This window comes from Homo sapiens, chromosome 6, assembly GCF_000001405.40.
Source record: "Homo sapiens chromosome 6, GRCh38.p14 Primary Assembly".
In the NCBI taxonomy this organism is placed as follows: domain Eukaryota; kingdom Metazoa; phylum Chordata; class Mammalia; order Primates; family Hominidae; genus Homo; species Homo sapiens.
Genome location: NC_000006.12, coordinates 87,428,093 through 87,454,544, shown reverse-complemented (window position 1 = coordinate 87,454,544; position 26,452 = coordinate 87,428,093). Strand labels below are relative to the sequence as shown.

At 37.9% G+C, this 26,452-nt stretch overlaps 1 protein-coding gene and 2 pseudogenes across 1 annotated transcript in view; 2 read left to right on the top strand and 1 right to left on the bottom strand.

The window, feature by feature from the left end:
- CFAP206 (cilia and flagella associated protein 206) overlaps window positions 1-26,452 on the bottom strand; it is a 56,494-nt gene that overhangs the window by 9,921 nt on the left and 20,121 nt on the right. Inside the window, exons 9-11 of the mRNA NM_001031743.3 lie at window positions 25,721-25,919; window positions 23,372-23,512; window positions 19,492-19,685 (exon numbers count right to left, since the gene is read on the bottom strand). Of these exons, the coding sequence (NP_001026913.1) occupies window positions 19,492-19,685; window positions 23,372-23,512; window positions 25,721-25,919 (534 nt within the window). The remainder of the gene's footprint in view (window positions 1-19,491; window positions 19,686-23,371; window positions 23,513-25,720; window positions 25,920-26,452) is intronic.
- Window positions 9,368-10,347, top strand: ST13P16 (ST13, Hsp70 interacting protein pseudogene 16; annotated as a pseudogene).
- On the top strand, window positions 12,229-13,571 carry LOC100420741 (adenosylmethionine decarboxylase 1 pseudogene; annotated as a pseudogene).

Here is a 26,452-nt window from a genome sequence, read left to right as displayed (position 1 = left end):
TATGATTAGAGAAGCTACTGATATGATTTCAATTTTTTGATATTTTTAAGATTTCTTTTGTGGCCTAACATATGGTCTTATCCTTGAGACTGATCCATGTGCTAAGGAAAAGAATATGTATTCTGTCGCCTTTGAACAAAATGTACTGTAAGTATTTGGTCAATTTGGCCTACAGTGCAGATTAAGTCTGATGTTTCTTTGCTGGTTTTCTGTCCGGAAGATATATCCAATGCTGAAAGTGGGATGTTGAAGTCTCCAGCTATTATTGTATTGGGGTCTATTTCGCTCTTTAGCTCTAATATTTGTTTTATATGTCTGGATACTCCAGTGTTGGGTGCATATATATTAATAACTATTAAATCCTCTTGCTGAATTGATACTTTTATCATATAATGATCTTCTCTGTGTCTTTTTATAGTTTTTGTCTTAAAATCTATTTTATCTGATACAAGTATGGCCACTCCTGCTCTTTTTTGGTTTTCATTTGCATGGAATAACTTTTTTCATCCCTTCATTTTCAGTCTATGTTTGTCTTTATAGGTGAAGTGCATTTCTTGTAGGCAACAGATCATTGGGTCTTGTTTTTTTAAATCCATTCAGCTACTCTGTCTTTTGATTGGAGAATTGTTTAGTCCATTTAATTCAGTGTTATTATTGATAAGTATGGGTTTGTTATTGCCATTTTGTGATTTGCTTTCTGGTTGTTTTGTGGTCTTCTCTTTCTTCCTTCCTTCCTGTCTTCCTTTTTGTGAAAGTGATTTTCTTTGGTGGTATGTTTCAATTTCTTACTTTATATTTTTGTGTATCTATTGTAGGTTTTTAAATTCGAGGTTACCAAGAGGCTTGCAAGTAACATCTTATAACCCATTATTTTAAACTGATGAAAACTTAACTCTGATTGCAAAAACAAGCAAAGAAAAAACTGATAAAAACTCTACACTTTTTCATCCCCCAGCCAGCCACTGCCGCTTCTTAACTTTTTGTTGTTTCTATTTAAATCTTATTATACTATGTCTTTAAAAGTTGTTATAGTTACTATTTTTGATAGGTTATTCTTTTAGTCTTCCTACTCGAGATATGAATAGTTTACACACAACAATTACAGTGTTATAACATTTTGTATTTGTGTACTTACTATTAATGAGTTTTGTGCCTTCAGATGATTTGTTATTGCTTGTTAGTATCCTTTTCTTTCAGATTGAAGAACTCCCTTTAACTTTTCTTGCAGAACAGGTCTGGTGATGAAATCCCTCAGCTTTTGTTTGTCTGGGAAAGTCTTTATTTTTCCTTCATGTTTGAAGGATATTTTCATCAGATATATACCATTCTAGGATAAAAAATTTTTTTTTCCTTCAGCACTTTAAGTATGTCGTGCCATTCTCTCCTGGCCTATAAAGTTTCCACAGAGAAATCTGCTGCCAGATGTATTGGAGCTCCTTTATATGTTATTTCTTTCTTTTCTCTTGCTGCTTTTAGGATCCTTTCTTTATCCTTGACCTTTAGGAGTTTGATTATTAAATTTCTTGAGGTAGTATTTGGGTTAAATCTGCTTGACGTTTTATAACCTTCTTATACTTGAATTTTGATATTTTTCTCTAGGTTTGGGAAATTCTTTGTTAATATCTCTTTGAATAAACTTTCTACCCCTATCTCTTCTCTACCTTCTCAAGGTCAATAACTCTTAGATTTGTCCTTTTGAGGCTATTTTTTAGATCCTGTAAATGTGCCTCATTATTTTTTATTCTTTCTTCTTTTGACTCCTCTGACTATGTATTTTCAAAGAGCCTGTCTTCAAGCTCACCAACTGTTTCTTCTGCTTGGTCAAGTATTTATTGAGAGACTTTGATACATTCTTTGATTTGTCAGATTTTTCAGATCCAGAATTTCTTGTTTTTAATTATTTCAATCTCTTTGTTAAATTTATCTGATGGGATTCTCATTTCCTTCTCTGCATTATCTTGGATTTCATTGAGCTTCCTCAAAACAGCTATTTTGAATTCTCTGTCTGAAAGGCCAGGCCACATATCTCTGTCACTCCAGAATTGGTCCCTGGTGCCTTATTTAGTTTGTTTGGTGAGGTCATGTTTTCCTGGATGGTCTTGATGCTTCTGGATGTTTGTCAATGTCTGGGCGCTGACAAGTTAGGTATTTATTCTAATCTTAGCAATCTGGGTTTGTTTGTACCTGTCCTTGAGAAGGCTTTCCAAGTATTCAAAGGGAATTGAGTGTTGTGATCTATGACTTTGGTCATTGCAGCCTTATGTATATTAGGGGGCACCCCAAGCCCAGTAACACTGTGACCGTTGCAGACTCGCAGAGGTACTGCCTTGGTGGTCTTGGGTAAGATGTGGGAGAATTCCCTGGATTACTAGGCAGAGTCTCTTGTTCTCCTCCCTTACTTTCTGCCAAGCAAACAAAATCTCTCTCCCCATGTTGCGCCAACTGGAGTGGGAGGAGAGGTGATGCAAGCACCCCCTTGTACACCACCACTGGGGCTATGCTGGGTCACACCTGAAGCCAGCACAGTACTGGGTTTTGGTACTGTGGCAACTATTTTCTGGCTACTGCTGATGTTTATTCAAGGCTCAAGGGCTCTTTAGTCAGCAAGTGATAGATCCTGCCAGGACCGGGCCTCCCCTTTCAGGGAAGCGGAATTTTTTTTTTTTTTCTTTTGAGATGGAGTCTCGCTCTGTCGCCCAGGCTGGAGTGCAGTGGCACTATCTCGGCTCACTGCAAGCTCCGCCAGGGAAGCGGATTTCTTACTGGCCCAGGACAGATCTAGAAATGCCCTTCAGGAGCTAAGGCCCAGAATCAGGAACTATAGGAGTTTGATTTGTGCTTTATTATACTGTGACTGAGCTGGTACCCAAGTTGCAAGATAAAGCCGTTTTTACTATCCCTCTCCTTTCCTCAAGCAGAAAGAGTCTCTCCTTGTGGCCACCACAGCTATGAATGTGCTGGATCACACCTGAAGCCAGCATGTACTGGGTCTTGCCCAAAGCCCATGGTGACTGCTGCCTGGCTACCATTGATAATTATTCAAGACCCAAGGGCTCTTTGGTCAGCAGGTGGTGAATTCTGCCAAAACTGGGTCCTTGCCTTCAGGGCAATGGGTTCCCTTCTGGCCCAGGGTGGGTCTAGAAATGTCATCCACAAACTATGGTCTGGAATTGGGGCTTCAGGACTCTGCTTGGAGCTTTATTTTACTGTGGCTGAGCTGGTATCCAAATTGCAAGACAAAGTCCTCTGTACTCTTCCCTTTCCTCCCAGAACTCCAAGCTGCACTGCCTGGAGTTGGGAAAGGGGTAATGCAAGCACTCCCTTGTCTACCGTAGCTGGTGTCTCACTGGGTCGCATGCACCCAAGTCCACTGGTTCTGAGCACAGCATGGCACCAGGACTTGCCCAGGAACTGTAGTCTGTGTGGCCTAGACTGCCTTTCAAGTTTATCAGGACCCTAGTACACTATAGCCCATGATACTGGGGCTAGCCAGAACTCAGGTTCCAACTGCTGAGATGGACAATGCCCTTCTGGCTAGGGCTGGTCTAAATGCTCCCGCCATGGGCACTGGCCGAATTCTGCCCTGTACTGCTTTATGCTATGACAGGGCAGCACTGAATTCCAATGCAAAGTCCTAACAATCACTTTGCTCTCCCTCCACCAAGTACACAGATTCTCTATCTGTGTCACGTGGCCGCTACTGGGGCATGCGGGGAGGGGTAGTATAGGCAATTAAAGACTGTCTTTCCTACCCTCTTCAGTACCTCTTTCCTTGGTATGATGTTTAAAAAAGGTACTGTGATTGCTCTCCTGATTTTTAATTCTTTTATGAAGGTACTTTCTTGTGTAGATGCTTGTTTGATTTGATGTTCCTGTCGGGGGATGATCACTGGAGGGTTCTATTCTGCCATCTTGCTCTGCCTCTCAATCTGGTGGTAATTTGAAGGGTGAAACATACCTTTTTTTTTTTTTTGCCATAAGTAGCTTTGAGACTTTTTGTGGTAAGTGGCTATATCATAGCTCCAAAATTACACACACACACACACACACACACACACACACACACACATTTTCATTTATTCAAAGGAAATATATACACACATTTATAAAGAAATGGTACATTAAAAAGTCACATCATACTACCCAAAGTGATCCACAAATTCAACGCAATCCCTATCATAATACCAATGACATTCTTCAAGAAATAGAAAAACAATCCTAAAATTCATATGGAACCGCAAAAGAGCCAGACTAGTCAAGCAATCCTGAGCAAAGAGAACAAACCTGGAGGCATCACACTACCTGACTTCAAAATATGCTACAAAGCTATAGTAACCAAAAGAGCATGGTATTCGCATAAAAACACAGAGACTAATAGAATAGAATACAGAACCCAGAAATAAATCCACACATTTACAGCCAACTGATTTTCAACAAAGGTGCCAAAAGGACACACTGGAGAAAGGACAGTCTCCTCAATAAATGGTACTTGGAAAACTGGATATCCACATGCAGAAGAATGAAACTAGACCTCTATCTCTCACCATATGTAAAAATTGACTCAAAATGAAGACTTAAATATAAGAACCAAAATTATGAAACTACTGGAAGAAACTACTGGAAGAATGTTTCAGGGCATTGGTCTGGGCAAAGATCTTTTGGATAAGACCTCAAAAGCCCAGGCAACAAAAGCAAAAATAGACAAATGGGATTATATCAAACTAAAAAGCTTCTGCACAGCAAAAGAAACAATCAACAGAGAAAAGAGACAACCTACAGAATGGGAGAAAATATTTGCAAACTATCCATTAAGGGATGAATATCCAGAACTTACAAGGAACTCAGCTCAGCAAAAACAAAACAAAAACAACAAATAATCCAATTTTAAAATGGGCAAATGATCTGAAGAGACATTTCTTAGAATAAAATATACAAATGGCCAACAGGTATGTAAGAAAATGCTCAATGTCACTAATCATCAGGGAAATGCACAATCAGCTATCATCTCATTCCAGTTAAAATGCCTATTATAAAAAAGACAGAAAACAACAAATGCTGGTGAGGACGTAGAGAAAGGGAACTCTTTTTTTTTTTTTTTTTTTTTTTTTGAGATGGAGTCTCACTCTGTCACCCAGGCTGGAGTGCAGTGGTGCGATCTCGGCTCACTGCAAGCTTCGCCTCCTGGGTTCATGCCATTCTCCTGCCTCAGCCTCCCAAGTAGCTGGGACTACAGGCACCTGCCACCACACCTGGCTAATTTTTTGTATTTTTTAGTAGAGACGGGGTTTCACCATGTTAGCCAGGATGGTCTCAATCTCCTGACCTCATAATCTGCCCACCTCGGCCTCCCAAAGTGTTGGGATTACAGGCGTGAGCCACCGCGCCTGGCCCAGGAAAGGGAACTCATACACTTTTTATGGAAATGCAAGTTTGATGGGAATGCAAGCCATTATGGAAAATAGTATGAAGGCTCCTCAAAAAGACTAAAAATAGAAATACCATATGATCCAGTAATCCCACTGCTGGGCATATATCCAAAGGAAAGGAAATTAGTATGTCAAAGAGATATCTGCACTCCTATGTTTATCACAGTACTACTCACAATAGTCAAGATATGGAAACAACCTAAGTGTCCACCAACAGGAGAATAAAGAAAATATGGTATATTTACACAATAGAATATCATTCAACCATAAAAAAGAATGAAATCCTGTCATTTACAGCAACATGGATTGAACTGGAGGACATTATGTTAAATGAAATAAGCAAGGCACAGAAAGACAAATATCACATGTTTCACTCATGTAGGAGCTAAAAAAGTTGATCCCATAGATCATGCCCATATAAGTAGGGAGTAGAATAGTGGTTACCAGAGGCTGGGAAGGGAAGTGGATGGGGAGAGGTTAGCTAATGGGGACAAAATTACAGTTAGATAGGAGGAATAAGTTCTAGTGTTCTAGGGCACAGTAGGGCAACTATAGTTAACAAAAATTTATTTTATATTTCAAAATAGCCAGAGGAGAGGATTCTGAATGTTCCCAACACAAAGAAGTAGTAAACATTTGAGGTGATGGATATGCCAATTACCCTGATTTGATCATAATACATTGTATACATGTATCAAAATATTACATGTACCCCACAAATATATACATTTATTATGTATCAATAAAAATCTTTAAAAATTAAGGGCACATGAAAACTCAAGTTAAAAAGAGATTCTAAAGCCAGGCACAGTGGCGTGTGGCTGTAGTCCCAGCTAATTGGGAGGCCAAGGCAGGAGGATTGCTTGAAGCAGGAGTTTGAGGCTGCAGTGGGCTATGATCACACAAAACCAAACATCGCATGATCTCACTCATAAGTGGGAGTTGAATAATGAAAACACATGGACACAGGGAGGGGAACATCACATGCTGGTGCCTGTCAGGGGTTGGTGGACTAGGGGAGGGATAGCCTTAGGAGAAACACATAATGTAGATAACAGATTGATAGGTGCAGCAAACCACCATGGCACATGTATTCCTATTTAACAAACCTGCACGTTCTGCACATGTATCCCAGAACTTAAAGTATAGTAATAATAATAATAATAAAGAAAATCTAGAAGAAATGGATAAATTCCTAGACACATACACCCTCCCAAGACTGAACCAGGAAGAAGTTGGATCCTGAATAGACTAATAACGAGTTCTGAAATTGAGGCAGTTATAAATAGCCTACCAACCAAAAAAAGCCCAGGACCAGACAGATTTCCAGCTGAATTCTACCAGAGGTACAAGGAGAAACCGGTACCATTTCTTCTGATATTCTTCCAAACAATGGAAAAGGAAAGACTGCTCCCTAACTCATTTTTTGAGGCCAGTATCATACAGATACCAAAACCTGGCAGAGATACAACAACAAAAAACAACTGCAGGCCAATATCCCTGATGAACATTGATGCAAAAATCCTCAATGCAATCCTGATGCAAACTGAATCCAGCAGCTCATCAAAAAGCTTATCCACCATGATCAAGTCGGCTTCATCCCCAGGATTCAAGGCTGGTTCAGTATATGCAAATCGATAAACGTAATTCATCACATAAACAGAACAAACGACAAAAACCACATGATTATCTCAATATTGAATTCCGTAGAATTCAACATCTCTTCATGTTAAAAACTCTCAATCAACTAGGTATTGATGGAAGATACCTCAAAATAATAAGAGCCATTTATGACAAACCCACAGCCAATATACTGAATGGGCAAAAGCTAGAAGCATTCCCCTTGAAAACCAGCACAAGACAAGGATGCCCTCTCTCACCACTCCTATTCAACACGGTACTGGAAGTTCTGGACAGGGCAGTCAGGCAAGAGAAAGAAATAAAGGATATTCAAATAGAGAAGAAGTAAAACTGTCTGTTTCCAGATGACATGATCCTCTATCTAGAAAACCCCACTGTCTTAGCCCAAAAGCTTCTCAAGGTAATAAGCAACTTCAGCAAAGTCTCAGGATACAAAATCAATGTGCAAAAATCACAAGCATTCCTATACACCAACGACAGGCAAGCAGAGAGCCAAACCATGATATGAACTTCCATTCACAATTACCACAAAGAGAATAAAATACCTGGAAATACAGCTAACAAGGGAAGTGAAGGACCTCTTCAAGGAGAACTATAAACCACTGCTCAAGGAAATCAGAGAAGACACAAACGAATGGAAAAACATTCCATTCTCATGAATAGGAAGAATCAATATTGTGAAAATGGCCATACTGCCCATAGTAACTTATACCTTCAATGGCATTCCCATTAAACCACCATTGACATACTTCACAGATTAGAAAAACTACTTTAAAATTCATATGGAGCCAAAAAAGAGCCCATATAGTCAAGACAATCCTAAGCAAAAAGAACAGAGCGGAAGGCATCATGCTACCCAATTTCAAACTATACTGCAGCCTACAGTAACCAAAACAGCATGGTACTGGTACAAAAACAGACACATAGACCGATGGAACAGAATAGAGAACTCAGAAATAAAACTGCACACCTACAACCATATGATCTTTGACAACCAATGGGGAAAGGATGCCCTATTTAATAAATGGTGCTGGAAGAACTGGCTAGCCATATGCAGAAAATTGAAACTGGACCCCTTCCTTACACCTTATACAAAAATTAACTTAAGATGGATTAAAGACTTAAATGTAAAACCCAAAACTATTAAACTATAAAAACCCTAAAGGAAAATCTAGGCAATACCATTCAGGATATACACATGGGCAAATATTTCATGACAAAAATGTCAAAAGCAACAGCAACAAAAGCAAAAACTGATGAATGGGATCTAATTAAACTAAAGAGCTTCTGCGCAGCAAAATAAACTATCATCAGAGTGAACAGAGAGCCTACAGAATGGGAGAAAATTTTTACAATCTATCCATCTGATAAAGGTCTGATATCTAGAATCTATAAGGAACTTAAACAAATTTGCAAGAGAAAAACAAACAACTCCATTAAAAAGTGGGCAAAGGACATGAACAGACACTTATCAAAAGAAGACATTCATGCAACCAACAAACATATGAAAAAAAGCTCAATATCATTGATTAGAGAAACGCAAGTCAAAACCACAATGAGGTATCATCTCATGCCTGTCAGAATGGCGATTATTAAAAAGTGAAGAAACAACAGATGCTGGTGAGGCTGTGAAGAAATAGCAATGCTTTTATAGTTAGTGGGAGTGTAAATTAGTTCAACCATTGTGGAAGATAGTATGGTGATTCCTCAAAGACTTAGAACCAGAAATACCATTTGACTCAGCAATCCTATTACTGGGTATATACCCAAAGGAATATAAATTATTCTGTTATAAAGATACATGCATGTGTATGTTCACTGCAGCACTATTCACAATAGCAAAGACATGGAATCAATCTAAGTGCCCATCAATGGTTAACTGGATAAAGAAAATGTGGTACATATACACCATGGAATAATAAGCAGCTATAAAAAGGAATGAGATCATGTCCTTTGCGGGGACATGGATGGGGCTGGAAGGCATTATCCTCAACAAACTAACGCAGGAACAGCAAACCAAACACCACGTGTTCTCACTTATAAGTGGGAGCTGAACAATGAGAAAACATGGACACAGAGAGGAACAACACACAGTGGGGCTTGCTGGAGGGGCAAGGAGAAGGAGAGCATCAGGAAAAATAGCTAATGCATGCTGGGCTTAATACTTAGGTGATGGGTTGATAGGGGCAGCAAACCACCTCAGCACACATTTACCTGTGTAATAAACCTGCATGTCCTGCACATGTATCCTGGAACTTAAAATTTAAAACGTAATAATAAAATAAATTTTAAAAATAAAAAAGAAAGGGGAGATGAAAATGCAGCTATAACAGATGATGGATTACGCAAATGATAAGAAAGTGGCTGCCACTGAAGCCCTAAATGATGGTGAACCGTAGAAAGCCATTGACTTATTCACAGATGCCTTCAAGCTGAATCCTCTCTTGACCATTCTACATGCCAAAGAGAGCCAGTGTCTTCAACGAATTACAGAAGCCAAATGCTGCCATCTGATATTGTAACAGAGCCATTGAAATAAATCCTGATTCAGCCCAGGCTTACAAGTGGTGAGCCTTACAAGCGCTTTTCACACACAGACTTCTGGGCCACTGGGAAGAAGCAGCCCATGATCTTGCCCCTTGTCTGTAAATTGGATTACAAAGATGCTAGCACAATGCTGAAAGAAGTTCAACCTAGGGCCTAGAAAATTGCAGAACATCAGAGAAAGTATGAGCAAAACCATGAAGAGTGAGCGATCAAAGAAAAAATAGTTAAAAAGGCTCAGAAAAGAGCATGAGAGAGCCCAGAGGGATCAGGAACTCAGTAGGCTCTCTTTTCCAGCTGGCTTTCCTGTGGGAAGGCCTGTTAATGTTCATGAAGGAATGCCTGGAATGGCAGGAATGCCTGAACTCAATGACATTCTTAGTGATCCAGAGGTTCTTGCAGCCATACAGGGTCCAGAAGTTATGGTGGCCTTCTAGGATGTGGCCTACAACCCAGCAAGTATGTCAAAATACCAGTAAAATGGAAAGGTTACAAATCTCATTAGTAAATTGTCAGCCAAATTTGTAGGTCAAGCGTAATGCCCTTCTGATAAATAATGCCCTTGGTGAAGGAAACGCAACCTGGACCACCTAATGCATGTTGCAACAATACAAACCAGTGTACCTCTGACCTTCTCATCAAGAGAACTGGGGTGCTTTGAGAATAATCCCCACCCCTCTACCCCAAATGCAGCTGAAGCATTTTACAGTGGTTTGCCATTAGCGTATCCATTCAGATAATGTTTTCCTACTAGGAATTACAAACTTTAAACACTTTTTAAACCTTAAAAATATTCAAAACAAATTTTAAAAGTCTCTTGATTCTTTTTAAAAATTAGATATCAATAATAGCTTTGCATTGCAAAATGGAAACTCTTTGTGAGTAAACTAACAGACATAAATAACCTACAATCTAAAGAAGAAATGCTAAAGAGAATTAGAAAACATTCAGAACCGAACTATGATGAAAATAGCTATGTTTAAAAGTATGCCGCAGAAACATGGATGGAGCTGGAGGCCATTATCCTGAACAAATTAATGCCGGAACAGAAAACCAAATACCACATGTTCTCACTCATAAGTAGGAGCTAAACACTGGGTACTCATGGACATCAAGATGGCAACAACAGATACTGGGGGCTACTAGAGTGGGGAGAGAGAGAGGAGGGCAAGGGCTGAAAAACTGTTGGGTACTATGCTCACTACCTGGGTGACAAGATCAGTCATACCCCAAGCCTCGGCTTCATGCAATATACCCATGTAACAAACCTGCACTTTTGCACCCTGAATCTAAAATAAAGGTTGTAATCATTTTTAAAAAACTTATGTGACATACAACTCTCATAGTATAGTAAAAAGGAAATTTATTGCATTAAGTTAAAAAGAAAGGCTAAAAACTAATGAGCTAAGCATCTATCTTTAAAAGTTAGAAAACAGAATAAAATGAAGGAACTAGATAAAGGAAAATAATAAAGATCAGAAAAGAAAATATAAAATGAAAGCAGTCATGAAATAGGGTCAATAAAGTCAAATGCTGATTCTTTAAAAAGACTGAGAAACTAGTGCTCTGGCAAGATTAATCAAAATAAAAAGAGAGAAGACTCAAATAAACAATATCTGGAGTTTAAAAGACAGCATAAGATAATGTAGAGTTTAAACAAATAGTAAAAGGATATTGTGAAATCTTCATAAGTTTAAAAACTTAGATGATTTGAATAAATTCCTAGAAAAATGCAACTTATTGAATCTGATACAAAAGAAACAAACTACCTGGAAAAAATTCCTGTAATCACAAAAGTAGTTAAACTTATAGTTTAATTTAGCATAGTTATAATGTTTCCAACCAAAGAAACCCAGAGAGCTTTATCAGCATACATTACCAGATAATTCCAATTATACATAAATTCTTTCAGAGAAAAGAAAATATAAAACATTCATACTCATTTATAAGACATGTATAACTTTCACATCTAAACAACGGACAGCAAAAGAAAGGAAATGCATAGGTTAATTGCACTGAGGAATATAAATGTAAAACTTCTAAAGAAAAATTAAAAAGCTGAATTCAAGAATGTATTTTTTAAATAAATAAAATAAACTATACCAAGTTGGATTGAGCCCAGGAATGCAAAGTTGGCTTAATCTTAGAAATAATATAATTCACCACATTAGCAGATTAAAGGATAAAGGCCAAACGATCATCTCAAAAGACACAGAAATAGTATTTGATACAATTCAATAACTATTCATATAAAAAACTCTCAGCAAATGAGATTAGAGAGGAAACCCTTAACCTAATAAAACAAAATCCACAAAAAGCTACAATGAACACTGCAATTATGAAATATCAGAAATATTATTTGGGGGGATAAGAAGACAAAGTTGCCCAATTTCGCTACCTCTATTTGATACTATACTAGAGTTGCTTGTCAATGTAGTAAGATAAAAGTAAAGAGTATAATGACATCTACAGTCCTCCACAGTACGTACTGCAACATTAGCTAGTGCTCACTCTACTCTCTAATGGTGAAACAACAGACTACAGGAGACTGAACTGTATCTGCCTCTATTTCCTGTCTCAAATTCAACTTTTACTTACCAAAAAAAGAAAGAAAGAAAAAGCCAGGAAGAGTTTTTAATCCTTAAAAAATATCAATATAAAATTATAGCAAAAAAGGAACCAGAATGTAACACATCCTGAACAATTTGCAGCAGCAGCAGAAAAAGAAAAAGGTATTTCATTTAGTTGATTTGCTGTGGTTGTTGATTGTTCTCTAGTCTCACGATGATGGAAGTTGCACAGTTTTTCAATGGGACCTAGAAGCTGCTGGAGGTCCTCCTGGCAGCAACCCGATGCAAACCAAAAATCTGGAAGTCTTTTCACCACTCCAAGATCTGAGGGTGACATATTTTGGAAGGATCTGCAATTTTCCATCATAAGTGTGACAAAAACTGACAATCAGGAAGCTTATGTACTCAGTGACAGTAGCACGTTTATCTCCAAGAGACATTTTATTTGGAAGACATATGGGACCAACTTTTGCTGAAAGCACTGGTTCCCCTGTTGAAGTTTGCTAGGGATGACATCGGATTTGGCTCAATGAAAAGCTTCTCTTATTCGCCTGAAATTTCATGAAGCCTTCTCACCAAGTGTGCCCACACCAGAATTTCTAGGAAGAAACAGTTTCTTAATGTAATTTTCCCAAGTGGAACGACATATTGTATGGAATGTGTGAATTCTGACTGTTGGTACTTGTATATACTTTGGATTTCCCAGAGAATCTGGCAAGCAAACAGATTAAACCCTGGAAATTCTGATAGTGAGCTTGACCAAGCAGTTATGAGTCAGTCCTACATGAATGATGGCATCACTACAAAGGATGTCACTCATGAGAGTGGAAATAGTGACCTAATACTAGGTTCTGCCACACTGTTAAATCCTTGTGGGTATTTAATCAATGGAATGAAATAGGATGGAATTTACCAGACTATTCACATCACTCCAGAAACAGAATTTTTTACGTTGGCTTCAAAACCACCTTAAGTCAGACCTTCTGTGATGACCTGATTGGGAAAGTTGTGGAAGTCTTTCATGCAGGAAAAGTTTTTACCACTTTGCTTGTAAATCATAGTTTTAAATGTCACTCACTACCTTCTTTGCCCCTAGAATATGGAAGATTTTAAATGTCCTGATTGCTAGAGTACTATGTTCAATGATTACAATTTTGTTTTTACCAGTTTTGCTAAGAAGCAGCCAACAGCAGAGCTGATTAAGAAAAATGAAAAATGAGAACACACATAGAAGGGTGGTGGTTGCTTTCTAGAGACTGATACCCTAGGGCCATGCTTTCTGTAACCACCACCTTGCCATTGTAAAAAGCTCCACATGTACTATAGTTTAATCATTTTGAATTTTATGCATTAGTATATCAAAGAGCTACATACTATATCTTCCATGAATACTCTCTTCCTTGTTTAAGTATTCTGTACCACTCTTGCTGTGAAAATGGAGTGCTTGTAGAAAAAACAAACAAACCTTTTACTATATGATACTTCTTAACACTTGTGAAAGCAATTCAGCTTGGTTTACGCATAGTGTAATATTTCTCCAAGTACCACCCAAAATTCCCTACAGAACTTTCATCCTCATTAGATGCTGGCCTCAGCCTTACCACTGGGGACATTACATTGCTGCCAGAATTTTACATCTAATTTACCTCCATTTTCTAGATATTCTCTACTTATGTTATCAAAACCAGTTTCTACTTCATACAGATGCTTTCTGCATTAGCAATTAAAATTTTCCATCTATGAGTTGAGTCTTAAGAAAATGATTGCAATTGTTCATTTTGCATATTACGATTTTAACATTATCGCTCCCTGCATTTGCAGTCCTCTGATTTATTTCTTCACCATGATGCCCTCGCTCCCCACAACAACACTCACCTCCTGTAATAAAGCAATATCGCGTTAAAAAAAATACAAAGTCTAGGGGAAGGAATTATCATTTGCATATATTGTGATGGCCCACATTAAGAAAAAAAAACTAACAGACTCTAAATATCAATAGACTCTCAAATATCAATTATTAGAATTAGTAAGGGAGTTTATTAAGGTTGCTGAATATAAAATCAATATGCAGAAATTAAACTGCATTTCCATAATATAAGCAATAATGAACTAAAATTCAATCCTAAGCATCAACAGCATTTAAAATAGCAACAAAAAATATAAAGTCCCTACAAATAAATCTAACCAAAAAATGTGCAATTCTTTGATAGGAAATATTATAAAACTACATTGATGCTTTGGATAGGGAGACTCAATGTTGTAAAAATGTCTATTCTTCTCATACTAACCTACATATACAAGGCAATTTCAATCAGTATTCCTTCAAGGGTTTTTAATGGAACTTCATTATGTACTTCTCAAATTTATAAAAGTAAAGATTCTAGTACAGACAAGACTTTTCGGAGAAGAAAGAATGTGAAAACTTACTCTACCAGATATCAAGACTTATAAAGCTATTGAAGATATCAGTATAGGATTTTTTTTAAAATTGAATAACTGAACATAATAGAGAGTGCAAAACTAAGCCTGTGGTTATTGATAAGACACTGTAGATCAGTGAGGAAAGGAGAGACTATTAAACAAATGGTCTACGACAATTTCACTACAAATGGGAAAAAAATAAAATTGGATCTTTACCTCCCACCACAAACAAAAATAAAATCCAAGTGGACTAAAGGCTCTACATAATAGACAAAACATATTTCTTTTAAAAAAAGGTAAGAATATTTTCGTGATCTCAAAATACGTAAGAACTTCTTAAACAAGACATGAAGAAAAAATAATGACAAATTACACATTAAAATAAAAGACTTGTTCATCAAGAGACACCACAAAAAGAATGAAAACATAAGCTACAAACTAAGAAAACATATCTTCAAAACATATATTTAACAAAGAATTCATAAGCAAAATACAATTTTGAAAAAACACTTCCTGCAAATCACTAAGATAAAGAGAAATCAACTAACAGAAAATTGGGCAAAATGAGGTCATTTCACAGAAATATATTATTTAGGAATACATACATGAATGGCAAAAACTCAACTACTATTTTAGAAATAGGTAGAGAATAAAATATAACTAAATCCATCAAGTTTTATGAAGGCATAATTAATGAAACTACCATAGGAAAAAACACTATGCAAATGGTATTTTTATTGATGGGACAATCCAATATAATAAATATGTAAATTCCCCCACATATTATTTCATTAGTTTAATGCAATTCCAGTTAAAATTCCAGTAAGATTTTTTGGGGAAACTTAGCAAATTCATTAAGAAACTTACATGGAAAATTTTGAAAACTAAAAGGCAAAGAAGAGAGCTTCCTTATCAGATAATAAAATACATTTCAAAGCAATAGTAATTAAAGCAGTGTGGTATTAGGATAGAGATGATAAATAGACCAATGCAACAGAATAGAAGGCCTAGAAACAAACCTATTTCATATGAAAGTTGTTAATACAATAGAGGTGCACTGTATTTTGTGGGAAATACATTTACATTATTTAGTAAATCGTGTTAGGAAAACTGGCTTACTACATGAAGAAAAATAAAATTAGAATCCTTTATTATCTCCAAATAGACTAAAGATCTCAATGTAAAAAATAAATTGTGTGAAAGTTGTCAGAATAAAAATGTTGTCACTTGTGTTAAAAACTCTGACAAATAGAGCCAGGGACGGCCATGAAGGAAGGGCTCTTGTGGCAAATCGGCCATGAAGGAAGGGCTCTTGTGGCAAATCCCCAATAAAAATTATCACAAAAGACTCTCCAAAAAACACAATCCTGCACAAAGGCCACCACAACTTTACACAGAAAAAATATTTCTGTGATGACATCTGCCCAGCAACTGCCTGTCCAACTAAGCCAAGAATAATGATCTTTTTTTTTTTTTTTTTTTGAGACAAGAGTCTCGCTCTGTTGCCAGGCTGGAGTGGAGTGATGCAATCTCAGCTCACTGCAACCTCTGACTCCCTGGTTCAAGCGATTCTCCTGCCTCAGCCTCCCGAGTAGCTGGGAATACAGGCATGTGCCAAGACACCCAGCTAATTTTTGTATTTTTAGTAGAGACAGATTTTCACCATGTTGGCCAGGATGGTCTCGAACTCCTGACCTTGTGATCTACTCGCCTCAGCCTCCCAAAGTGCTGGGATTACAGGCGTGAGCCACCACGCCTGGTCAGGATAATTATCTTAAACAATTATGTAATCCTCCTAATTTTTCCCTTAACAGACTTTGTCTTTCTTTACCTCTCTTAATACACACATGGTTTACTATGGCAAGTGTATTCCCATTGCAGTGCCTGGTCCTGAACAAATATCATTTCCTTTTAGAGAGTATCTGTTATATAGATTGACAATTTAAAAAGAAGAAAATGGGCTGGATGTGGTGGCTCACACATTTAATCCCAGCACTTTGGGAGGTTGAGGCAAGAGGATTGCTTGAGCCTAGGAGTTCAAGACCAGCCTGAGCAACAAAGTGAGGCACCGTCTCTAGAAAAACTAAAACTAAAAAAAAAAAAAAAAAAAAAAAAAATTAGCCAGGCATGGTTGGTGCATGCCTGTGTGGTCTCAGCTACACAAAAGCTCAAGGCAAGAGGATTGCTTCAACCCAGGAGGTCAACACTGTAGTGAGCCATGTTCATGTCATTGCACTCCAGCCTGGGCTACAGAGTGAGCCTCTGTCTCAAAAAAATAAAAATAAAATAAAAATAAAATGTAAAGAATAATCCTAGGACAGAGGAGAATTTCTAAAATAAGATTTTAAAAAAAGCACAATCTGTAAAGGAAAAAATTAATAGATATGACTACATTAAAATTAAAGATGTGTCTTCAATGAAGGATTCAACTTACAAAGTTAACAGAGGTGTCAGGCTGGGAAAAGACATTTGCAACTTTTATAACTTATAAAGGATTAATATTTAGAATAGACAAGGAACTGCCAATCAACAACTTAAAAACAGAAACAGCAAATGGAAAAAAAAACGGCAAAAGTTATAAATACGCAATGTACAGAAGGGGAAACCTGAACAGATAAATAAGAAGAAATGCTAAACATCACTATCAGAAAAATGCACAATAAAGCAGTAATAAGGGCCTGGTGCAGTGGCTCACACCTGTAATCCCAGCACTTTGGGAGGCCAAGGCAGGTGGATCACAAGGTCAGGAGTTCAAGACCAGCTGGACCAAGATGGTGAAACCCCGTCTCTACTAAAAATACAAAAATTAGCCAGGCATGTTGGCAGACGCCTGTAATCCCAGCTACTCAGAAGGCTGAGGCAGAGAATTGCTTGAACCTGGGAGGTGGAGGTTGCAGTGAGCTGATATCACGCCACTGCACTCCAGCCTGGGCAACAGAGCAAGACTCCGTCTCAGAAAAAAAAACAAACAATAATAAGTACCATTTTAAATTCATCAAATTGGCAAATATTACAAACTGAGGTATTAACACGTCCTCGCAGGATTATGGGTAACTGACAAGCCTTATAATGAAGTTAAATTAGTACATTTTCAGAGTAACTTTTTAGTGGAAACAAAAATTGTAGGCCTACCTACTATTTGGCTCACATACAGAAAGGCACTGTAGACGAGACCAATCTCTCATCACAACAGTAGGAACCTAGGACTCTGCAGAATAGCTTCATTGGAAAGGGGAGCTGGAGTGCTACATCAACGATGTCATCACGATGTCAGAATAACACAATGTCAGAACACAGCACATCACGATGTCAGAATAGCAGCACCAACTGAGCTGTCCATGGTCCTGACTACCATACTTCCCCCCACCCTCCTCAGATGACTTAGTCCCTAGCTTGTTTCTGGTCTTCTTGCCTGTGTGTTCAGACCATCCTCTGTGCTCCTCTGTCACCAGCCCAACAGTCCTCTCACTACTTACTGCTTGGATCTCTGCTGGCCAGGTCAATGGCACAAAGCCCACCTGCTTTAGAGTTAAAATGTTGATAAAAATAGCAAACAAGTCCGGGCGTGGTGGCTCACGCCTGTAATCCCAGCACTTTGGGAGGCCAAGGTGGGTGGATCACCTGAGGTCAGGAGTTTGAGACCAGCCTTGCCAACATGGTGAAACCGTATCTCTACTAAAAATACAAAAATTAGCCAGGCGTGATGGTGTCCGCCTATAGTTCCAGCTACTCAGAAAGTTGAGACAGGAGAATTGCTTGAACCTGGGAGGCGGAAGTTGCAGTGAGCTGAGATCACACCACTGCACTCCAGCCTGGGCAACAGAGCAAGACTTGGTTAAAAAAAAAAAAAAAAAAAAAGGAAACAACAGACATTTTAAACCATGTATTTCAAAATGTTTTCATTTTAGTGAGTTTAAAAGAGAGGAATTCAACAAGAGACAGGAGAGAAAGAAAGACCACTTAAGAGATGAACAACAGGCTTGGCATGGTGGCTCGTGCCTATAATCCCAACACTTTGGGATGCCAAGGCGGGAGGATAACTTGAAGCCACAAGTTTGAGACCAGCCCGGGCAACATGGCGAGACCCCATCTCTACAAAAAAGTTTTTTAAAAAAATTAGCCAGGCATGGTGGCACCTGCCTGTAGTCCCAGCTACTTGGGAGACTGAGGCAAGACGATCCCTTGAACCCAGGAGTTGGAAGGTACAGTAAGCTATGATTGTGCCAGTGCTCTCCATCCTGGGTGACAGAGTGAGACCTTGCCTCTAAAAAGAACAAAAAAAGAGATGAACAACGAAAATGAGAGACAAAGAGGAAGAACATTAGAATATACGGCATTCAAATGTGAGTTCCAAACCGGTAGAGATTTTTATCTGTTTTGTTTCATGAAATCCCTTATGCCAAGAATAATTACTGACACACAATAAGTGGCTTACTAAATAAGATGAATGAATTAATCAATAGGCACAGACATACAAGAAACCCACCTTGAGATCCATTCTGTGGCCTTTCAGACTACTACAATTTAAACCTGTTAAATTGTTTTGCAGCTCTGAGTATAAGTTACTATCTGTGTTATCTGTGTTGAGCTCCTCCAATTTCAGATACAGAAATATACTGCAGCTTCAATTATTTATAAGTCAATGAAGTTGTTCTGATTCAGATTTTCCCCATTTCCTAATTCATCAATTTGACTCCATATCCTGTTTTCATTATTCTTTGATTCAATTAGTTTTCATCTTCAGATATGAATCCCTTTCAGACAACCTGTAAAGACCCTCATCTGACTCTCTCTGTGTGGACCTGGGAAGCATTCTACAACAAAATACAACTTTTAAATTAACTATATTTTTAAATGTCATAAATTCATAAAATATTGACCCTGCTTACCTGAGAATATGGAATAAATGTTTCAAACTGTTGATGAAGTTCCAATAGTTGAATTAACTCTGTATTTTTTTTGGCCTTTTCTCTAACTATGTCAATATAATGTTCAGGATTTTCTGCAAATGAATATGCAGCATCTTTACTATTGAATGTGTAATATTTTTCTTTATATTTTAAAATTCCAATTGCTGGATTTCCTGAAAATAAAAAAAGAATTAGATATGAAATGTCTTGATCACTTATGAAATATTGTTATTCTGGCTGGGCATGGTGGCTCACGCCTGTAATTCCAGCACTTTGGGAGGCCAAAGCAGGCAGACCACCTGAGGTCAGGAGTTCAAGACCAGCCTGACCAACAAGGTGAAACCCCGTCTCTACTAAAAATACTAAAATTAGATGGGCGTGGTGGTGTGCACCTCTAATCCCAGCTACTCAGGGGGCTGAGGTAGGAGAATAGCTTGAACCTGGGAGGCGGAGGTTGCAGTGAGCTGAGATCGTGCCATTGCACTCTAGCCTAAGTGACAGAGCAAGACTGTCTCAAAAAAAAAAAAAAAGAAAAAGAAAAAGAAATATTGTTACTCTGTGTTTGTAACATACCATAGAGCCATTCCTCATCCACTCCATTTTTTTTTTTTTTTGAGACTGTGTCTCAAAAGATAAGTTGATAAGACTGCGTCTTATCAACCTGGCTGGAGTGCAGTGGCGCAGTCTCAGCTCACTGCAGCATCAACATCCCGGGCTCAAGAGATCCTCCTGCCTTACCCTCCCAGGTAGCTGGGACTACAGGCATGTGTCTCCCAACCTAGCTAACCTTTTTTGTAGAGATGGGGTTTCACCACATCACCCAGGCTGGTCTCGAACTCGTGGACTCAAGCGATCTGCTCACTTCGGCCTCCCGAAGTGCTGGGATTACAGGCATGAGCCACTGTTCCTGGCCCTTCCACTCCTTTTTTTTTTGAGACGAAGTCTTGCTCTGTCACCCAGGCTGGAGTCCAGTGGTGTGATCTCAGCTCACTACAACCTCTGCCTCCTGGATTCAAGCAGTTCTCCTGTCTCAGCCTCCTGAGTAGCTGGGATTACAGGTGTGCACCACCACACCCAGCTAATTTTTGTATTTTTAATAGAGACGGGGTTTCATCAAATTGGTCAGGCTGGTCTTGAACTCCTGACCTCAGGTGATCCACCCACCTTGGCCTCCCAAAGTGCTGGGATTACAAGCATGAGCCACCACGCCCAGCCCCTTCCACTCCATTTTTAACATATCAGTTATGCTTTTATTTTGCTAAAATGTTATAATTATCATTTTAATTTATACATTTTTAAATGATATGTGAAATACATACTAATTATATTTTTATGTTAAAGTATGATTTTAAACTGTATTTTATGTAAAAATACTTTCCACTATCCAGATATAATAATTGTAAAAATCTTTTATGAAAAGCCACTTACTCATCTGGTAGATTTTTCAAAGCTACTTCAACTAACTACTGCAAGGACTATGTTTAAAATAACCCAGTAAGAACTACAAAAATGGGACATCTTTTCCAAAACTCAAATTTGCATATTAGCAAATATTTTTCACTGTAAAAAGATACTACATAGACTATAGATAATTAAATATCCACATAGTTTGTGGAAGTTGTATTAGAAAGAGCAACACTGTCTTACTCATTTATTCTTTCATTTATCCAACAAATAGTTATTGACCATGTTCATGGTGCTAAGGCTATAGAAGATAACAAATTCCCTGCTCTCAAAAAATCACAAATATATCATAGGTCACAGAGTGACATGTGCTACATGAAAAAAATAATAAAGCAGGTTAAATACATAGTAAAAGGAAGAAGTGTGCAATTGATATTTTAAATTGAGTGATTAGGGAAGGCTGAATAAAATGAGGCAGCAAGGCGATTAGCAACCTGGGAGGCAGAGTTTTTCCAAGAGTGCAAAGGCTCTGAGGTGAAAGTGGGCTTCAACTGTTCAACAACAGCAAGAAAGCCAGTGCCACTGAAGTGGAGCAAACGAGGCAAAGCGTGGTAGGCAATGAAGTCAATGAAGTCATCGGAAAAGGATTCTGACTGGTAAGTGCCAGTGTTACCCTGGGATTTAAGGCATGTGGTCTCCACTCCTGAATGGAAGAAGGGAAGTTCTACAGAATTCATCTGAGGTAATGCAGGTTGCTGCTGCCCAGAAAATAATGAAGTAGAAATAATGTAGTAAGCAGAAATCGTCAGAATTCACTTATCCAGAGAGGAATATGAAACTCATGGCCCCAAAAGCTCTTCTACTTTTCTACTTCACCCTCTTTCTTCTTAGACCCAGAGTTGGGAGACCCTGGAAGGGACCATACAGACCTCCTGGTTGATCCTTTTCATTTTCTTGAGGAGAAACTGAGGTCCACAGAAGGTGTGAGATTTCATAAAGGTTACCTAGTTCACTAAGGACACAGACCAGGCTCTTCTGAACCCTAGCCCATAGCTTTTCCAACCATATCATTGCTTCCTCTGCCATCACCCCACATCCGTGTTTCTCCTTTCCCTTCTTATTTGTGTGAAACAGGGAAGGAAGGAAGGAATGGAGAGGGGGAGGCAGGAGGGGAGGGAGAGAGGGAGGGAGGAGAAAGAAAAGGAAACTATCTACATTCCATTGCATTTTACTTCTGCATGGCTCTTGATTGTTTTCTCCCCAGTATCAGTGACCCTCACTGGGCCTCAGAATATTACTTTCAACTTCCCACAGTAAATATTTTGTTATTCCCATTATCAAAAATGTAATAACATTTTTTAAATGAGCCAATTGTGTGTTCTCTCTAGCCTGTATACCCACAATCCCAATAGTTATTTTTAATGAAAAAATACCCAATTGTGAAACATAACAAAAGAAATAAAGAAAAAAATAATGAAGAAAGAAGAAAAATAAGGTTAATGGCGTAAAGTAAATTAAGACACAATCTTGTCACACTGTTTTCATTCTAGCCCTGGCAGGCTTTTTCTTATTCACAATTCACACAGCACTTTTTGGATGATAATTTCTTTCATCTCTATCTCTGATTTATTCTTTATTTTGGAGAAGCTCTAATAATATATACATCATAGAGAAATTTTACTTGATATTAGCCATTTCCTTATAGGCGTCTAACAGAGAAATCCTATCTATGCCAGTGAAATATAACTGCAAAGTAACAAAGAATATTTTTTAACAAACATGTCAAATAAGTGTTGCTCTTTCAGTAATTACTTTGGAAGATATATTTTTAGTAATGTTGTGTAACATTTCTTTTGTTTTATTTTTGAGACAGTCTCACTTTGTTGCCCAGCTGAAGTGCAGTGGAGTTATCTCAGCTCGCTGCAATCTCTGCCTCCCGGGTTCAAGTGATTCTCCTGCCTCAGCCTCCCAAGTAGCTGGGACTACAGGCGTGTGCCACCATGCCTGGCTAATTTTTGTATTTTTAGTAAAGACAGGGTTTCGACATGTTGGCCAGGCTGATCTCCAACTCCTGACCTCAAGTGATCCACCCGCCCTGACCTCCCAAAGTGCTGGAATTATAGGCGTGAGCCACTGCATGCAGCCAATGTCGTGTAACATTTCTAGAATTCTTCATTGGCCATATGAGTCATCCCCTTTCAATGGTACTGCAGCATCCATATTTCATAACACATATACACTTTCCATTACTAATCACTTATAATTTCTTGCTTATGTCAGTCTACCAGAGCACCTCCAAAATGAAGACTTTGTCTGGATCATCTTTGTAGATCCTTTGTTAGTTCACCATTAGATTCCATAAAGTTTTTAAAGTGAATATTCAAGTGACAATGACAGAACTCCATATAAAGAAAAAATCGGGGAAAGGAGAGCAGTCTCATTTCCAATGATATACCTGGAAGGAGAAGACCATCTGTTGCAGCAAACGTGTAAGCACAAAATCCCCGATATTGAATTAACAGTTTATCAAAATTTGCTGTTGTTTCTGGGAAAAGCCATTCTAGTTTTCTGAAATCTGCCACATTTACTCTATCTTCTAAAATGAAGGAGAAGAAGAAAAGCTTTAATTCAGTGAGAAGGTTAAATTTCCAAAATAAATCAGCAGTAGCTCATTCTAAACATTACCTTTTTATTGCTTTGTACTTTTCCCGATGGGCAAAAACTTGATATTCACAAAACCAGATTTATGAGGAAGTCTATTCAAGCAAAGAAGTACAAATGACCTCAGTGACATATAACGTCACGTAAGTTTCTGGGGCAAACTTGGAGGTAGGATTTTGCTCCAGAATGAAGAACAGAAAGGAGAGGCCATTTCTGACAAGCATGCTCTGCTGCTGAGAGAAAAGCTGACTGGGGCACTTCCGAAAGTGTGTGGTGCTTCCTGCTGCTGCAGAGTAAATAACCCAAGGAGTTGAGCAGAATAGACTGGCTGCTATGTGACCCAGAAAGAGATATATTGACCTCATTCAATATAGTGTTGTTCTTAATAATATGCTAGGTGGCAAAATATGTTTAATATGATGCTTATAAACTAGGACTATTGCTTCTTGAAACAACAGAGAAGGTTCTGAGCAGAAAGTCAAGAAAATGTTACCTGATTTTGATAACAAGGTGTGTAATTTTTGTTCTTTATATTTTTAAAAATTCTTCCTATGTTGGTTAGCTTACCTATTTACATTTGATAAGCAAACTGAATAAATTTTTACACAAATAATACCACGTATTTATAAAACATTGTTCCTGAAGTTTCTTAGCTTTCACAATCTCACGTACACTTCTGTGCCTGGTTCTAAACCCAAAAAGCAGGCACCACAAACGATCTTGTGGCTACCACTAAAAGTAAATGCATAATTTAGAGAAAATAAATCCTCTCTCTTTTTTCCTGATATGCCTGAAAGCCTCTAACAATGACAATATGTGGCAGGTGTAAATGAAATTCTTTTAGAACAACACTGGCTTGACCAATTCAATGGAGTGGTAATTTAATAGTGTTCTAGTGAATAAAAAGTTCTGACGTATGGTAGAAAATGACACATCTAAATCTAAGAAGTTGCAGGTAAACAGTCTTGCCAATATGGTTAGCTTAATATACACTGTTGGAGATACTTTAACTTTTCAATTTCATTTAATATTTGCTTACATATGCTGCTTTAATGAAATGAAATGAGCAATAAAAAACTTGAACTGAAAGGATATTTTTTAGTTTCTGGTTTAGTTTTCAGTTTTTATGAATTCTAATAGTTTGGGAAATGACTGCTATATTTTTATTTTTCATCTTTAAAAAATAGAATTTGAAAAGAAAATTCATAGAGTAAATTATTAATTTCAGTTTCTGAAAAAACTCTCTTTTTATGCAACATCAACATCTCAAGTCCCAAGCTCTTTTTTGGCATTCCTCATAAATGTTAAAGTATCTTTAGCTAAGATAGAAGGGTCTAAAATGGTTAAAAGTTTATTGATAAAGATTGTTTTTCTGTAAGAATCAATGCATCTTCTAAAGGACCTAAATAAGCTCAATTAATTTTACAGGGATAACATTTATTGGTTTGTAAATTCCCAACTTGAATCTGAGGTAGATATATAACAAATAACATTCTAAAGAAATGGAGCTTTATTTGCAACAAAATAGCAATGATTAATATTCTTTTCTCCAACAAATCAATAATAAAATTACTAGGACTGCAATAGAAACACATCTGCACAAAAAATGATTGTTAACCAAAACATGAACGATAACACTACGAATGGTTATTGCTGGACAGTAAGTTATTCAGTTTACATTTTTTCTGTTTTCCACATCTCCTCTCATAAACATTAGTGCTTTTTTTTTTTTTTTCTTTTTGAGATGGAGTCTCACTCTGTCACCCAGGCTAGAGTGCAATGGCACAATCTTGGCTCACTGCAACCTCTGACCCGCTAGGTTCAAGTGATTCTCCTGCCTTAGCCTCCCCAGTAGCTGGGATTACAGGCGCCCACCACCATGCCCGGCTAATTTTTGTATTTTTAGTAGAGACGGAGTTTTGCCATGTCGAACTCCTGGCCTCAGGTGATCCACCCGCCTCGGCCCCCCAAAGTGCTGGGATTACAGGCGTGAGCCACCACACCCGGCCCTCATTAGTACTTTATAATCAAGAAAAATGTTTAATGCTTTATCAGAAAGATATGAAATTTTTAGAACAAAAGAGTGACTTTATTCTAGAGGTAATTTTAAAAAGAAGAGGAAATAATGGATGATTTTCATTACCCATGTGTTCTTTCATTCTACACACATCAGTTTTCACAGTCGCTCCATTAAGATGACATTGCATCACTCTCTCAGGAAAGTATAGTTCGTGAGCACCCAAGAATGGCTGAATGTGAGTGAATAAATTACTGAGGACACCAACCACAATAGTTTCGTCTTGCAAGCTGGTCCACAGAGTAGAAAGTGCAATGAAGATAGGCTGAGGAAGAGAAAAAAAATATTCAAAATGCAACTGTGTAATAAAATTATAAATCACTGTACTCTTTAAGATAAATACAATTGTCATTTGTAAAGAAGTTAATTCTCCCTAAGCAAAAGTCTTACGAACTTAGACAGTAGACTTTAGATAGACATTTAACTCATAAATTATGAGAAAATAAACTTGCATTTTATTTCAAAGCATTTTATTTTAGTACGATTATTATAAAGTTAGTTTACTTTAAAAAGCCAAACACATGTGATCACCTAAGAAAGATTTATGGACTCTTCACCTCAAAAAACCAAGGGAAAAATGTCTTAAGAAAAAAAAAAAAATACGGCCAGGCACAGTAGCTCACACCTGTAATCCCAGCATTTTGGGAGGCCAAGGTGGGCGGATCACCTGAGGGCAGGAGTTCAAGACCAGCCTGGCCAACATGGCAAAACCCCGTCTCTACTAAAAATACAAAAATTAGCCAGGCGTGGTGGTGGGCACCTACAATCCCAGCTACCCGGGAGGCTGAGGCAGGAGAA